The sequence below is a fragment of the Homo sapiens genome, chromosome 1, assembly GCF_000001405.40.
Source record: "Homo sapiens chromosome 1, GRCh38.p14 Primary Assembly".
In the NCBI taxonomy this organism is placed as follows: Eukaryota; Metazoa; Chordata; class Mammalia; order Primates; family Hominidae; genus Homo; species Homo sapiens.
In genome coordinates this window covers 154,616,981-154,634,394 of record NC_000001.11, presented here as the reverse complement: position 1 = coordinate 154,634,394, position 17,414 = coordinate 154,616,981, and the positions used below count along the sequence as shown (strand labels likewise).

Sequence of the window (17,414 nt, the reverse complement as noted above, 5' to 3'; positions counted from 1 at the left end):
GCGTGGGCAACAAGAGCGAAACTCCGTCTCAAAAAAAAAAAAATCATAATAAATATACATGGAACAAAATTAATAGTAACAAGACAGATGATCAGTTAGGACTTTTTTTTTTGAGATGGAGTTTTGCCCTGTCACCCAGGCTGGAGTGCAGTGGCGCCGCAATCTCGGCTCACTGCAAGCTCCGCCTCCCAGGTTCGCGCCATTGTCCTGCCTCAGCCTCCCCAGCAGCTGGGACTACAGGCGCCCGCCACCACGCCCGGCTAATTTTTTGTATTTTTAGTAGAGACGGGGTTTCACCGTGTTAGCTAGGATGGTCTCAATCTCCTGACCCTGTGATCCGCCCACCTCGGCCTCCCAAAGTGCTGGGATTACAGGCGTGATCAGTTAGGACTTTTTAATACAGCTGTATACATTAATACATCTAAAGCAAAAGAACTTAGAAAGGTTGAAAGTAAAAGGATTGCAAATATTACAAGTAAACACTCACTAAAAGAAAGCTGGTTTGTCTATGATAATATCAGACAAAACAGACTTTAAGACAAAGAGCAATGTAGGGATATAAAGGGATAACTGTGTCATGATATAAAATTTAATTCACCAAAATGTTAACACAATTCTAAACACATAAGCACCTAACAAAATGTGTTCCAAGTACAGGGAGCATAAATTGATAAAAACTGGAGAGGCTGACAAACCTACCATCATTGTGGGAGATTTTTCAACATGCTTTTGTCTGTGACTGGTAATTCAAGCAGAAAACAAAAAGCAAAGATACAGGATATTTGAACAACAAAACTAACAATCTTGTAATAATGGACATATATCAATTTTGTACCTAACAATGAGAGAATACAAATTCTTATCAAGCTTGTATTTCTCAGATTAGATTATAAATTAACCAATTAGGCAAATATCACTACATTTTAAATAAAAGTATAATAAACATTATTATTATTATTATTATTATTATTATTATTATTTTGAGACTGAGTTTTGCGCTTGTTGCCTAGGCTGGAGTGCAATGGCGCCATCTCGGCTTGCTGCAAACTCTGCCTCCTGGGTTCAAGCGATTCTCCTGCCTCAGCCTCCTGAGTAGCTGGGATTACAGGCGGGCACCACCATGCCCAGCTAATTTTTGTATTTTTAGTAGAGATGGGGCTTCACCATGTTGGCCAGGCTGGTCTCGAACTCCTGACCTCAGGTGATCTGCTCACCTCAGCCTCCCAAAGTGCTGGGATTACAGGCATGAGCCACCATGCCCGACCTAAAAGTATAATAAAAATTATGATAACAATGCAAATATGTCAGAAGAGACAAGGTCTCTGTTACCCAGGCTGCAGCATCAAACTCCTGGGCTCAAGTGATCCTGCCACCTCAGCCTCCCCAGTAGCTAGGACTACCATGCCTGGCTAATTTTTTATTTTTATTTTTTTAGTAGAGATGGGGTCTCACTATTTTGCCCAGGCTGGTCTCAAACTTCTGGGCTTAAATGATCCTCCAGCCTCACCCTCCAAAAGTGTTGGGATTACAGGTGCGAGCCACCATGCCTGGCAAGAACATATCTTTTAAATAATGAGTCAAAGAAGAAACTACAATAAAAATTTAAATATTTTTGAACTGAATAATAATAAAAATGTTATATATCAAAACTTGTGGGATACAGAAAGCAGTGCTTTGAAGGAAATTTACTGCCTTAAATGTTTTTAAAGACAAGAAAAACATGGCTGAAAATTAATAAACTAAACACACAACTTTAAGAAATAACAGAATAAACTCGAAGAAAATGGAAGGAAGGGGATAATTATAAGAGCAGAACTAGAGATAGAAACGAAATAGAAAACAGGGAGAATCAACAAGGACAAAGTTGGTTCTTTGAAAAATACCAACAAAATAAATAAACCTCTGCAATGATTTATCTAAGAAAAAATGATAAGAAGTTAAAGGCAAATAATTTTTATCAGTCAGTTTTCACTATAATATGCTTTGGTAACTACAAAATCCCAAATCTCTGTGTTTATTTCTTATTTGCTATATATGTTGACTCTGCTGGGCTCTCCTCCACATGTATTCTTCATTCTGGGGTCCCCAATCACGCACATGCCATTCTCATGGAAGAGAGAAAAGAGCAAGAAAGCTGGTAGAAACATGTACGATATCTTTTAAAGTTTCTGTTCATGTACGATGATCAAGCCCATTGACAGCTGGTTGGGTATGCATTCTTCTGTCACAAGAGTCACCTCAAGTCACATAGCATTAGGTAGAAATGTATAGTCCTCTTATAAGAAAAGGAACAAATATTTGGAGAGCAATAACACAGTCTACCACAAGTAATATTATAAATGAAAAAAGAGCTATAAATACAGCAGAGATTAAGAAGATAATACAATCAATAACTATGCCAATGAGCTTAAACCCTTAGATGACATGGAAAAAATTCTAGAACCTATTATTTTATTAAACTGACTCAAGGAGAAAGAAAATAATTGAACAGTTTCATAACTATTAAATAAACCAAAGTCGTATTTTACAAACTTCACACAAGGAAAATACCCAGCCGAGATGGTTTTGCTGTGCTGTTCTGTTCTGTTTTGTTTGGTTTTTGTTTTTTGGAGATGGAGTCTTGTTGCTCAGTCTGGTCTTGAATTCCTTGCCTCAAGTGATCCTCCTGCTTGAGCCTCTCAAGTAGTTGAGATTATAGGTGTAAGCCACTGCACCCAGCTCCAGACAGTTTTACTGGTGAATTCTACTGATGCTTGAAAGGAAAATCACTCCAATCTTATTAAAATTCTTCCAGAGGATACAAAAAAAGGGAATACTCCTTATGTCACTTTATGAGCCTTGAAACCCAAACAGATCAAGACAGAATGAGAAAGGAATATCACAAGTCCATGTTTTTCATAAACACAAACGCAAAAATCCTACATAGAATATAACATAGACATAGAATATATAGAGCACAATAGCATATAAAATTGAGACTTTATGGTCCAGTTGTTTATCCTAGGAATGCAAGGATAAGTAGTTTAATATAAAATCTATAAATGTCATCTACCATATTAACATATTAAAGGGAGAAAGAAATTGTGTGATGATTTCAATAGATGTAGAAATAAATTAAATTCAAATCCATTCAAGATTTTTAAATTTTATTCAACTAGGAATAAAAGGTACCTTCCTTAACCTGATAAAGGAGATTTACAAAACGCCTACAAAAATATCATTCTAAATGTTTTATCATAAAATATACAAAAATAATACTAAGTTTCCCTTTCGAATATCAAGAGCATCAAGAATGCCCACTATCACCATTTCCAATAACACTGTACTGGAACAATGCACTGCCTTCTCCCCCAAACCAGTGTAACACTTTTTTTTTTTTTTTGAGATGGAGTCTGGCTCTGTCGCCCAGGCTGGAGTGCAGTGGTGCAATCTCAGCTCACTGCAAGCTCTGCCTCCCGGGTTCACTCCATTCTCCTGCCTCAGCCTCCCAAGTAGCTGGGACTACAGGCACCCGCCACCACGCCCGGCTAAGTTTTTGTATTTTTAGTAGAGATAGGGTCTCACCATGTTAGCCAGGATGGTCTCAATCTCCTGACCTCATGATCTGCCCGCCTTGGCCTCCCAAAGTGCTGGGATTACAGGCATGAGCCACTGAGCCTGGCCAAACCAGTGTAACACTTTAAGATAGATAAAAAGCAATAAGGGTTGGGCGTAGGAAAGGGGGAAACTGGCATTATTTTCAGATAATGATTGTTTACATACAAAATCCAAAAGAATCAATAAATAAATTACTACAAACAAGAGTTTAGCATTGTGGCTGGATACAATATCAATGTACAAAAATCAAATTTATTTCTATATGATCATCAAAAAATTAGAAAGCATATTTTTAAAGGACATCACTTATAATAGCAACAAAAACTACAAAGAATCTAGGAATAAAATCCCCAAAAGATGTGCAAGATCTGGACAAAGAGAATAATAAATCCAAATTAAAGCATTAATGAAGACCTAATAAAAAGAAAGTTATCCCTTGCTTATGGAAGACTCAGAATCATAAAATGTCAATTCTCTCCAAATTTATATATTAGTTATTTATTATTCAATGCAATGCCAACAGGTTTTTGTTGTTGTTACTGCTGCGTGTGTGTGTGTGCAACTTGTTTGTGTGTGCAACTTGAGATGCTTGCCTTAAAATATGGGAAAACTAAAGACCAAGCATAGCCCAAAAAAAGAAGATGGATGAAGAATAAAAGGGAGATTTTGCACTACTAAATATCAAGACTTTTTATAAAGCTGTGGTAATTAAATAATGTGGTGTTGACATCAAGATAGACAAATTTTCCAGTGGAAGAGAATAGATAGATCAGAAATAGACCCATAAGTAACTGGAATGTTGATATATAACAAAGTTGGGAAAGGTGGGAAAGTTGGGAAAGGTGGGGCTAGTCAATAAACAAACCTGGGGAAAAATAAAGGTCATTTGTATGTAAAAAGTAAAATGGGATCCCTACCTCACACCATATACAAAAGTAAATTCCAGAGAGAATAAGGATTTAAAGATTTTTAGGAGTAAGAGTAAGTGAATAAATATTAGGGTACGGGGAAAAGAAAAACAGGATAAATATTAATAAATTCAAAGTTAAGAACATCTACCAAAATAGAAAATGAAAGGATACATATGGAAGGATAAATTTGCAACACATATAACTGATGAAGAATCAGTGCCCTAAGTTTGTGAATAATGTAGCAAACAATCCACTAAAACAATAATAAAAGACTCAAACTGACTGTTATATAAAGAGCCAAAGATGGCCTCTGTATCTGGGTCCCTGAGTTGTTTATTTCTTCACAGCAAGCTGGTATCTATTATCTCAAAAGCCTTTCAGCACCTAACTCAAATGTTTATACATCCAGGCATTTTAAATATAACACAACTAAGCAGATTTTTAGGCATTTAGAGCTGCTTGCCTGCTTTGTATACCTCATGAAACTGTGCCCAACATCTGTTAGTCATAGATAAGATAAATCTGTGGTTTATGAAGACTCCAATTTGCTGCTGCCCTTGGGAGCTTTCTGAAACAGAGACTTCCCACAGGCCGCTGAACAACATCACCTGGACATGGTAAGGCCACTCTCTTCTGGAAGTTTCCTTCTCTTTTCCCCTTTTGGATGGTTCCTCTCCACCCCCAATCTCTGGATCTTCTCATGCTGCCAAGGACTTCCCCTAAATACAAACCTGTCAAAGCTCACACAAATAAAGCTTGAGTGTGCTACTGTCACCTCCTGGTCATATATTTTTTCTTGCTCAGCCCTAAAAATCCCTCAAATGCCCTACACTGACATTTCACAGAAGAGAAACTACAGATGGACAATACATATTTAAAAGAGATGCTTAACCTCAATAAGGGCAGTTTGAGACCATGCATTAGCAAAAGCCAAGAAATCTGAGGTGTTAGAGAAGATGTGGATGCTGGTAGGAGTATAAACTGGTACAACCACTTTGGATAAAAATTTGGTACTATCATATAAAGTGGAATACTGGCATTCCAAAGTCCTATCAATTTTATTCCTAGGTAAATACACCCAAGAGACATTTTTGCACAGGGGCACCAGAAAGCAATGCTGATTTCCAACACTGTTGGAAAGAGCAAAAGACTGGAAATTGCACAAAGACTTGGCAGCTGGAGAATGGATAAATTATGGTACATAATGGATTTTTATGTAGCAGTGAAAATGAACAAAATGTAACTTCGGTCAATAAAGATGAGTAAAGAAAAATGTACCAGGCCCAGGCCTCTAGATGAGAGTTTGGAAATACACACAAAACTAAGAAAAGTAAAAATACATTGCTTAGTAATATATATAAATGTGAAAAGAAATTAAAGCAATATAATAGTTGTGTAAACACAAATTCAGGATGGGAGTTACTTCTGATGGAGAGGCAGTGGCACAAGATGGGGACCACTTACAAGCTGATGAAAGTTAATTGATAATATTTTAGTTCTTGGTTAGCATGTCAAGTTAAAGAAGGTGTTCATTATATTATTTTAAAAATGAATTCGTTTAATTTAATTTAAACGGGCCATTCAAAGACTACTGGTTATAATGTATTATTGGCTAATTCTGTGGTCTTTTTAAAAGAGGATTGTACCTACGTATCTTCTCAGGCCTTCCGGCCCAACCACGTTATAAATGACTAAGGAGTTCAATCAAGGCCATGGGCAAAAATGCAGCATCCTAAACCCATGTACCTACTCCCCACTGTACCCAAAACAGCGGCATTAACACAACGTAAAAAACCAAGGAAGACGTAGCAACAAAAACCTTAATTTCCTAGAGCGCAAACAAAAGAGGTTGAATCACGTGGTTCTTCCTCCCACGCCCGGCGCGCCAATGATGTCACCAATCTGCGACCAGACCATTGATTCCCGACTGAAGGTAGAGAAGGCTACGTGGTGGGGGAGGGTGGGGGGAGGGTCGCGGCCGCACTGGCAGTCTCCGGGTGTCCGGCCGTGTCCCGAGGAAGTGCAAGACCCGGTAAGAGCCTCTGTCCTTCTCGGCTACACCTGCCTGGGCTGGAACGCGCGGCCCATGCGGCCTCTCCAGTCTCTGGCGTTGATGTTAGAGGAAGCGTGGGGGCGCCCCGGCAGGGCACTGAGGGTGGCCGCAGGGCTGGGTGGGGACGCAGCTGGTAGGGGCACAGTGGCCGGTCTCGGCAGCCTTCCAGGAGGCGGACGCCCGGGCCGGTGTACTTTTGTGCGTGTGTGCGCGCCCGTGTGTGCGCGAGTGTGGGCGGCAGAGGCTGCGCACGGATGCTCCGGCGCTCGTGCCAGCCGGAGCCCAGCAGCTGGGTACCAAAGGCCCAACAGCTGGGTACCAAAGGCCCTTGTTTCCCTCTCGCCGGCTCCCCCGCCTCGGAGAGTGACTGGAGAGTGAGCTGCCTGGGACTCGCCGCGGTAGGCGCTTTTGCTGCGCCTTCTACCACAAACTGCGTTAGGACCGGCCCTTTATCCCAGAGATAACATCGCCGCCCTGGCGTGCCTTCCACAGGGAAGGCGTAGGAGGCCACTGTGGAAAGCTCACTGCGGGGTCACGGCCGCCGCGCTCAGCCTGTCTGGCCTGGTGCAGGAGGCCTAGTTGCGTCACCTCCTCTTCCTTCTCTGTTTAGCTTGATTTGGGGGCCCCACTAGAGGGTAATCCGGCCCCAGGTGTTTCGTGTTGGTATCAGAGTTTGGGAAACTTGCCTTCCAAAAAGGGATACCTGTCATTGGATTTTGAATGTTGTGTGGAGGAGCCCAAGTATGCAATTAGCGGAGGGAGCAGAGTCTAGGCTGCCACGGGAGGAGACTTGCAAACAGAGGCCTACACAGTGTCTTGTTGCTAGAGAGGGAGGCAGGATTGCTAGAGCGGGTCATTGGGGGCAGAGAAGGCAGGGGCGTCAAACTGTCAGCAGTTGTGATGCCAACTTCTTTCTCCACCAGAGAAGCCTTGTTCCCATCCTTTTAAAGATCTCTTGAAATATCTTGGTCGTTATTTACAAACAGTTAGTGCTTGCTATATGGGAAAAAGGGAAATAGAGTGGAAAGGGGACATGAACTTTGGAGTCAGGTCTGCCACTTTGCAGCTGTTTGACATTGAATGAGTTATTTAACCTCTCCACTCCTACTTGGGCTTATCTACAAAATGAAGATAATTATATCTACCTTGCCCGAGGTGTCAGAATTCGAAGTGTCTAGCTATTATTAGTAAGGGCCCAGTACCCAGGAGCTTGGACTTGCTCCCTTGCTGAAGGTTTCCTATTGGTACAGCTGCTTGAGAAGCAGGGGAACTTTTTGCTATTTTAGATGTTTGCTATTCTGCCAGATATGATATGCAGACTTGGGGGTGGTAGTGGAGGGGAAATCTCAAAATCCATAATCTCTCTGCTGTACACTTCATTAAATTCTAGAACTGCAAAGAGGTGAAGATCTCACTTTAGGCCGGGTGCAGTGGCTCATGCCTGTAATCCCAGCACTTTGGGAGGCCGAGGCAGGTGGATCATGTGAGGTCAGGAGTTCGAGACCAGCCTGGCCAACATGGTGAAACCCCGTCTCTACTAAAAATACAAAAATTAGACCAGCATGATGGTGCACATCTGTGATCCCAGCTACTTGGGAGGCTGAGGCAGGACAATCTCTCAAACCCAGGTGGTGGAGGTTGCAGTGAGCCAATATCCACCATTGCACCCCAGCCTGGACGACAGCGAAACTGTATCTCAAAAAAAAAAAAACTCACTTTATTAATTATAGCTTCTCATTTTATTTTATTATTTTTCAATTTTATCCCGAGTAGCTGGGATCACAGATGTGCACCACCATGCCTGGCTAATTTTTTTTTTTTTTTTTTTTTGAGACAGAGTCTCACTCCATCGCGCAGGCTGGAGTGCAATGATGCGATCTCAGCTCACTGCAAACTCTACCTCCCGGGTTCAAGTGAGTCTCCCTCCTCAGCCTCCCGAGTAGCTGGGATTACAGGAGCATGCCACCATGCCTGGCTAATTTTTGTATTTTTAGTAAGACAGGGTTTCACCATGTTGGCCAGGCTGGTCTCGAACTCCTGACCTCAGGTGATCCACCTGCCTCGGCCTCCCAAACTGCTGGGATTACAGGTATGAGCCACCGTGCCTGGCCTATGCCCGGCTAATTTTTGTATTTTTAGTAGAGATGGGGTTTCACCATGTTGGCCAGGCTGGTCTCGAACTCCTGACCTCAAGTGATCTGCGCACTTAGGCCTCCCAGAGTGATGGGATTACAGGCATGAGCCACCGCGCCAGGCCTTTCGCTTCTCTTTAGCACTTGCTATGTACCTGACACGGTGTTGAGCACTTTACATATACTAACTTATTTCATCCCTCTAACAACTGAGTGCACTAAATATTATCCCCATTTTATAGATGCAGAAGTGAATCTTGGCTAAGGTCCTGACATTAATTAACGGCAAAGCTGGAACTTGAAGCCAGCTGTGTGGTTTGAGTCTTGCTCTTTCTCAGTGTCTAGCAAGTCTTGCTCTTGCCCTTGCTCATCAGGCTATGTGGTTTGAGTCTTGCTCTTTCTCAGTGACTAGTATCCCAGCAATGTAAACCTGGTGCAGTGGGGGAAAGGAGGCCCAGACAGAGTTTAGTGGGCCAGGATTGGCTGCAAGAATAACATCTCAAATTGTCTAATGATACATTATCTTTTATTTTACATTTTTTACTCAGCATTGTCCAGATATGAACCAAGGTTTGGCCTTTTCACCCAGAGAAAAAGGACAGGCTCATGGGTACACTGTGCTGGGATGACGGGCACAAAGTAGGTATTCGGAAAATGCTTGTGGAAAAAAGAAATCCTGAGGCATTGTTATTTCTGCCAGAAGGAGGCCCAGTGCTTATTACACACAGGCTCCTTAAGCCAGCTATTTTTATACTATAACACACTGTAATATGAGCATTTTTCTGATTCATGGATTTAAAGATTTGAAGCCCTGTTTCAGACCAAGATTGGTAGTATTATCTGTGACCAACTGATTAGAGTTCTCAAATATGTGAACAACAGAATCTGAGCTTTTGGGCTTCTGTAGTAATCTCTTGAGATAGAGCAATTTGTTTTGCTATAACATCTGTTAGACTTGGACCTTAATGGGTACAACTGCTTGAGTTTTCTGGAGAACACTGGATGATTGTTTGACATCAGGGATAAAGAGTTCAAAATATTAAGTTTGTCTCAAAATTAAATATTTGGGAAAGACCTGTGATTGATGTGCATTCATTGTAGGAATAGTACACTAGTTTTAAACAGATGATATTCCTGGTATTTTTGATGAGCTATTCTGTGTCTTAAAGATGTTTAAAGATGACTTGTAGTTGTATAGTGAACTATTAGGAACATACAAAATTTATATAACCCATCCATATAGACTGTGACTTACACCCCCCTCAGTTCCTCCACCCAAGGAGGTCTAGTTGCTGCTTCTATACCCTCTGGTTACCTTGAAGCTACCTATTTCACCATCTTTATCAGACTTTATCAGACTTAATAGGTGAGACCCTCTGACATCAGCCTCCCTTTCCTTCTGTACCACCCCTTGCCACATGCACACAGAATGAAGCTCTTCTCCAAAAGGACTGTATATTAATCTACTTGCAAGTGGCACAAACCCAGTGTAAATTAACTTAAGCAAAAAAAGGTTTTTTCCTCCCTTTGATTATTTAACTAGAAAGTCCAAAGGCAAGCTTCAGGCATGGCTGGATCCTGGGGCTAAAATGATGTCATGAGGGCTTTCTTGGCCCTTCCTTTTTCGGCTCCGTTTTCTTTATTGACTTCATTCTCTCTTGCTGCTTTCTTTTTCTTTTTTTTTTTTTGAGATGGAGTCTTGCTCGTCTTGCTCTGTCGCCCCCAGGCTGGAGTGCAGTGGCACGATCTTGGCTGGCGGCAACCTCCACCTCCCAGGTTCAAGTGATTCTCCTGCCTCAGCCTCCCGGGTAGCTAGGATTACAGGAGCCCGTCACTACCCCCGGCTAATTTTTGTATTTTTAGTAGAAATGGGGTTTCACTATGTTGGCCAGGCTGGTCTTGAACTCCTGACCTCAGGTGATCCACCCGCCTCAGCCTCCCAAAGTGCTGGGATTACAGGCATGAGCTACTGTGCCCGGCCTTCTTGCTGCTTTCTCTATGCATACTGAAAAAGCTCCCTGTCAGCAACCCCAAGCCTATGACCTGATGGCTGTCTTTTAGCGTTGTAAATTAACCATTGCTGACAAGGAAATAGGGAGACCACAATTGGAGAGGTCTACATCATAGGCTCACTCTTGGGATGAGGAAGTAAACTGCCCGTCCATAACCTTATGGGATGGGGAAGTTCAGAGGTCCTAGGCAGGCAGAAACAGCACATGACTACTGCAGGGGTGTGTGTATGCACACATGTGTGCTTACATGTGTGCTCTTATCTCACTTCTTTGGGGTCCTTCTAGAGCCTTCCAACTGGAATGAATCCAGTGGGTTGTGTTTGTCCATCAAACTTTGACTCCCACTGTGGCATCCATTATGTGCTCTCCGTCCTTTCTGTACCTTTGCATCTGCTGTTTGGGTTGCCCTTCCCCATTGCTTCATCTGGCTGATCCTTCTAGATTCAGGTCATGCTTCTCCCAGAAGCCTTCCTTGACACCTTCCTTAATGAGCTAGGCATCCCTTCTCTCTGCTCCCATAAACACCTGAGCACAACCCCCTTGTAGATGTTATTTCTGTTTGATAATTATCTGTTTATTGGTCATGTCTCCACTAGACGGAGAGCCCCTTGAGGACAGAGTGTCCTTTGCTTTGTATTCCTTATCTCCTACCCTTAGCTAGTATTATTTGTCTTCATAGCACTCATAACTGACATTGTATATTTATTTGTTTATTTATTGCCTGTCTCTCCTCATTGACTGTCTTTCATTAGCTTCATGAGAACAATGTGGAAAGGAATTTTCTTTGATCAAAGCAAAACAAAACTACCTTGAGGCCTAGGACAGTGCCTCATACTGGCATATAGTATATGTTCAGTAAATGTTTATTAAATGAATGAATGGAAATCTTCCCACAGGAAGAAAACACTGGCATTATGTTGATGAACATTCCAGTCTGCATGATAGATACACTTCTCACTGTAAAGATCTGAAACTTGAGTACCATGGCATCCCAGGAAGGTAGCACACCTCTTCCCATATGTGTTTGAACCTGCAGAGGTCAGGCCCAAGGAGCCTCCAGCTGGAAATTCTACCCTGTGTGATGTTTCACTCCTCTCAAACTTTTCTGAACTTTGATAGGTTGTATATTAAGGCCTTCTCCATATTTTGGGGCCCTTTCCTTGGAGTATTTATTTTTAAAACATTTATTTAAGCACTTACAAGGTGACAGGCACTGTTCTTAGTCCTTTATAAATAGCAACTCACTCTTGGACTGGAGTTTGGGGACCAAGGGTTGTCAACTTTAAAACTTTTTTCTTTTTAAGTACCAAAACACTCAAGAACAGAAATAAGACTACTCTGCATCTAGTCCATCTTGCCCTCCAGAAGTAGAGCTATCTAACAGCCTGATACAGGTCTTGTCCCTGCCCTTTCCTCAGGTTTTTACAGCCATAGCTAGTAAATATAACATACTGCATCTCATCGCCTTTGTTTGGTCTTCACCCAAACGCAGCCACGCTCTGCCGCAGGATATGTGGCAGAGCCAGGTGGGGAATCAGTGGCTCAGAGCCCACTCTGCTTTTCAGGACATAGGCTGCTCAAGCATCTGTCTTCAGCCCTCTCCCAGGGAGGGCCTAAACCCACATCCTCAGGCCCCTGCAGAGCACATCCATCTTCCTGGTTACATGTTATGCCTTATCTGTGGGAACCCTAGCCACGCCACACCCACACCTCAACACATGAAGAAAGGGAAAAAATACCCCTTTCTTTCTTTTGACAACAACAAAAAAGTACTTCTCCTACAAATAGAGACTTGAAATGACAGGGTTATTATTTAACCCCGCTCTTACTCCAAACATCCAAGCGGCAGTTTCAGCCTAGCTGCAGTACTCTGTTGTAGTGCTTAGTCCTGATTTGCTTCCTAAGAAGTGAATACCAGTTTCCACTGCCATCAGCAATGCCTGAGTACTTACTGTGCCTCTCCCTCACCCTACCCTCCTCTCCAGAACTGAGTATTTTACTAAAAAAGGAAAATCTTAGCTAAATTTGAAATAGCATCTCATTTTAATTTGCATTTTTTATTATAATTGTTTGAGCCCTTTTTACCCATACTGAGCCATTTTTATTTCTACTTTTTAAATTTTTGGTTAATGTTTTGTCTATTCACTTATTGTGTTTAAGTGATTTTTAAAATATACAAATATTCTGAAAAACATGAGTTTATCCTCATGGTAAAAAGCAAACAATTTTATTTGCAGTTAATTCTTTTTAGTTTATTGTTTGCCATCTAATTTTGGCTTTATCATTAAAAATACAAATCTATTTTTCATTCTTTTTTAGACAAATTTTATTCTTTTTGATTTCTTTTGCTTGTGAGCATAAAAAGGTTTTTTTCCTTATTCTATATTCTAGTTTTTTTTATGGTTTGCATTTTTACATATGACTTTTAAAAAGCTAGCATTCAGTTTTATTTCAGATTTTAATAAGATATTTGATGAAAATAGTGTAATATTTTAAATAAAATCAGTTTTAATTAAAGGTCTATGTTTTGTTTTAAGGATGTTTATATTACTGTACTTATATTTTTTCTTTTTAAATAATTTATCAGAATAGCGAACAGCTTGCTTGACAAAACTAAGATTCACATATATAGATAATCATAATTTTAGTGTTCTTAGCGTTTCCATAAATTGCTGCATGAAAAGATATTTATGTGTGGCTGTCTGGTTTAAAGAGGCACTCGTGCTTGGCAACAGCTTTTCAGCATGTAGCCAAGATGACAAATTCAGCCTCTTCCAGTTCCTCTTCCTCACTATTTCCCTAAGATTTTTTTCATGGGAGCATAACTATGTGTATCTCTGTGCACAGATTTTATGTGTACCTTTCAATGTATTTTAACAAAAATATATCCATTTAACTATCCAAATCAAGAAATAAAACATTTTCATTACCTCAGAAAGCTCCCCTGTGGTAGTCACCACTACCCCCAAAGGCCAACACTATTGATGTCTGATATCTATCACTATAGATTAGATTAGTTTTGCCTGTTCTAAAATTTCATGTCAGTATGTGCTTTTGTTTGTGGCTTCTTTCAGTGAGGATCAACCATGTTGCATGTGTCAGTATCCATTGTGTGAATATGCATCAAGTTATTTATTCATTAGTTGATTGACATTTGGGTTATTCCAGTTTGGGGCTATTAAGAAGAATAAAGCTCTATGAACAGTTTTTTTTCCTGTTTTTTATTGTAGTAAAATACACAACATAAAATTTACCATCTTAAACCATTGTTTGTTTTTTTTTTTGAGACGGAGCCTTGCTCTGTTACCCAGGCTGGAGTGCAGTGGCACGATCTTGGCTCCCTGCAACCTCCACCTCCCAGGTTCAAGCAATTCTCTGCCTTAGCCTCCCAAGTAGCTGGGATTACAGGCACCCACCACCATGCCCAGCTAATGTTTGTATTTTTAATAGAGACGGAGTTTCATCACCTTGGCCAGGCTGGTCTTGAACTCCTGACCTTGTGGTCCACCCGCCTTGGCCTCCCAAAGTGCTGGGATTACAGGCATGAGCCACCGCGCCTGGCCCGTAAACCATTTTTAAGTGTATAGTTCAGTAGTGTTAGGTATAGTCACATTGTTGTGCAACAAATCTCCAGAACTTTTTCATCTTGCAGATCTAAAACTATATTCATTAACAACTCCTCTTTTCCCCCATCCTCCAGCCCCTGGTTCTATGGACATTCTTGTACAAGTCTTTTTGTGGCCATTTTTCTTGGGTAAGTACCCAGGAGTATAAATGCTGGGTCTAGCCTTAGAAGAAACTGCCTTACAGTTTTCTCGAATAGTTAGTCGTACCATTTTATGTTCCCACAGTATACAAAAATGCTAGTTTGCTTCATATCCTCACCAACATTAGGTATTGTGAGTCTTTTTTTATTTTAGCCATTCTGTAGCTGTGAAGCGGCATCCCATTGTGGTTTTATTACATGTTCTAGTCAGTTATTTACATGTCTGTTCCCATTACTAGACTGTGAACTTCATAAGGGAAGGTTCATGCAGTAAGTAGTTTTGTTTTTTTTGTTGTTGTTCTTATTAACCTTCCTCTTCTTATTTTGAGGGTGATACATGCTTTATTATTAAAAAGAACTTAAAAATTATAGAAAGCTATTAAAAAGCCAATAAAATCACAGGTTAGCCCACCTCTCAGACATCATCAGGAGTATTTTGGTCTTTCAGGCAGTGCTGTGTTGGTTCGTACAGACAGAACAGTTCCCATGATGGTTGATTCAGCAACCCAGCATTGTTCCAGCCCACTGCCTTGCTATCCTCTGGACATCACTTATTCCCAGCGAGGAGCCCTTTTCTCAGACAGCCCCAGACAGATTGTTTTTGTGGTTTGCTGGCCACAAATGTATCACATGTATCACTGACAAAAGAAGTAGAATCCTCAATACTGGATTAAATTAGATTAATTAACATCCTTCCTCTGGGGCTGGGGAGGGAACCTGGCCTTCTTAGGAAAGTGGACAGAATCAGGGCACTCTCAGAAAGGGAGGCATAGTTCTAGCGTAGGCCACTAACATTATCTGCCTCTTTTTTTTTGAGATGGAGTCTCACTCTGTTGCCCAGGCTGGAGTGCAGTGGCACAATCTCAGCTCACTGCAACCTCTGCTTCCCAGGTTCAAGCGATCCTCCTGCCTCTGCCCCACTAGTAGCTGGGATTACAAGTACCTGCCACCACGCCCGGCTAATGTTTGTATTTTTAGTAGAGACGGGGTTTCGCCATGTTGGCCAGGCTGGTCTCAAACTCGTGACCTCAGGTGATCCACCTGCCTCGGACTTCCAAAGTGCTGAGATTACAGGCATAAGCCACCACGGCCGGCCTGCTTCTTGGTGTTTTTATTTAATTTTTTTACACTTAGTCTGTCAATACATTTGCAATTTGTTTTGGCTTATTAATATAAGGCTAGACTCTAGACTTTTTTTTTTTCCAAATAGCCATTCAGTTGGCCCAGCTCCATCTGTTGAATAACGCTTTTTCTCACTGCTGTTTTTGGTTCCTCATCATGCATTGGATTTCTGCACATACTAGGCTCTGTTTGGAGGGAGGTGGTTCTTTTCTGTTAGTCTGAAGCTCTACCCTTGCTTTATACCAGTGCTGCCTTGGTTTAATTAGCGTAGCTGTCTTCTTTTTAAAAAACTGTTTTGTTTGTTCTTGTACTTGAACTTTATTTATTCCCATCCAATGACCTATTAATTGCATCTGAACTTTAGAGTAATCATTTTGTCAGGTATCCACTCCTTACTGCCCCAACCTCATAGTATTTGCAGTAAATCGTTATTTAATTTGATATTAATTAGTATTCATAAAGTATTCTGCCATCACATTTGAGACTGGTATGTCCTTCTATTTAAGACATATATTCCTCAGCAGAGTTTTGTAATTTTCCACATGTAAGCTCTTCACATTTCTTAGGGTTAGTCCTAGATACTTCTTTTTTTTAATTTAATGTTTTATTTGCTATTAAGAATATGGTATTCTTAATAGCAAATAAAACATTAAAGTATATAAAGAATATATACTTACTATATGAAGAAGGTATACTTATATATTACTATAGTAATGTATATATTACTATATAAAGAATATATACTTTAGATGCATATATACATATGCATATAAAGAAGCTATTGTGTTTTATATGTTTCTCTTATATTCAACCATATTCCTTGACTGGTATTGGTTCTAAGAGTTTTTCAGTTGATCCTCTTGAATCAACTAGGGTTATGATGATATCATCTGCAAATAATCTATTTTTCTTTTTAATAGTTTATCTCTTATTTTTGTTTCATAATGTAGAATATGTAAGAATTTCCATAGGTAGAAAAGATATTAAATATATATATTTAACATGTGTTAAATACCATATTTGTTTTAAGACCACTGAGCATAAAGACTTGCTATTGATTTAATAACAGATTTGGGGGGCACTATATTAAATGTATACTTACACTGTAATTCATATTCCAATATCAGAAATGTTAGGATGTAAAAAGCAGTGCATCTTAGAATTAAGGAAAATAACAATGGTAATGGTAGCCCTCCTTTTTCTCGTTTGAGTGGTAGTGTCTAACTGTTCCATTCTACATATGATATTGGCTGTTGATTTATGATAGACAGTCTTTATTATTAAGGGGTCCTCACACATCTTCCTGTTTGGAAGAGGTTTTGTGTTGGTTTAATCAGCTTAGGAGGGAAAGGTGATCATCAGGGTCACTTTCGTGCAGAATCCCACCTCTGCCCACAATTCCTGCCTTCTTTGAACTTTCTTTGTTAAAGTAAGAATCTAGACTCTGGCATCAAAGATTGATATGCTAAGCAGAAGTTTACTGCCCAGCAGAGAACCAGTTGAGTGCAAAAGTTAGGCTCTGAGATCTAAGCCTTGAGGGTGGCAATGAGGGATGAGGTAGGTTTTTAAAACTCATGGTCTCCATCCCATATTAGGAAATCAAAGTCTCCAAATGCTACTTATTGGCCAGTGTTATCTGGACTAGGCATTGTCTAAGCAACAAGCAGGACAGGACGCTTGCAGGGGTTTTTGATAAGTTATCTCTCACTATGTCTATGAGTCAGGATAATAGTGCCCCAGTCATTGTTTTGGTAGAAGTCCAGTCCACTGGCTAGGCAGCCATGTTGGGATTCATCACTTTGTAGTTTCTAACTTTTTACT

At 40.6% G+C, this 17,414-nt stretch overlaps 1 protein-coding gene and 1 long non-coding RNA gene across 8 annotated transcripts in view, besides 1 other annotated feature; one reads left to right on the top strand and one right to left on the bottom strand.

Moving 5' to 3' along the window:
• LOC124904427 (uncharacterized) lies at positions 1,999–6,439 on the bottom strand. Its single transcript, XR_007066635.1, has 2 exons — positions 6,328–6,439; positions 1,999–2,837 (listed from the first exon to the last, which is right to left on the bottom strand). It is a non-coding gene; the product is annotated as an uncharacterized LOC124904427 (long non-coding RNA).
• Positions 6,398–17,414, top strand: part of ADAR (adenosine deaminase RNA specific) — a 45,941-nt gene continuing 34,924 nt past the window's right edge. For 3 of the 7 annotated variants that reach the window (NM_001365046.1, XM_047428340.1, NM_001365045.1), the window contains exon 1: positions 6,398–6,441. Coding sequence is in view for 4 of the 7 variants with exons in the window: in XM_047428340.1 (XP_047284296.1) it covers positions 6,400–6,441 (42 nt within the window). In the remaining 3 variants the exon portion in view is untranslated. Of the gene's footprint in view, positions 6,541–9,245; positions 9,333–17,414 lie in introns of those variants that run through there. The other 4 variants (XM_011509061.3, NM_001025107.3, XM_011509062.2 and 1 more) reach the window with 3 other exon arrangements.
• Positions 6,527–7,312: an enhancer, noted in NCBI's record as "NANOG-H3K27ac-H3K4me1 hESC enhancer chr1:154599559-154600344 (GRCh37/hg19 assembly coordinates)". NCBI's record gives its function as "activates a minimal SCP1, AML or CMV promoter by ChIP-STARR-seq in naive H9 embryonic stem cells {active_cell/tissue: H9 hESC(naive)}" and the evidence as "EXISTENCE:reporter gene assay evidence [ECO:0000049][PMID:30033119]".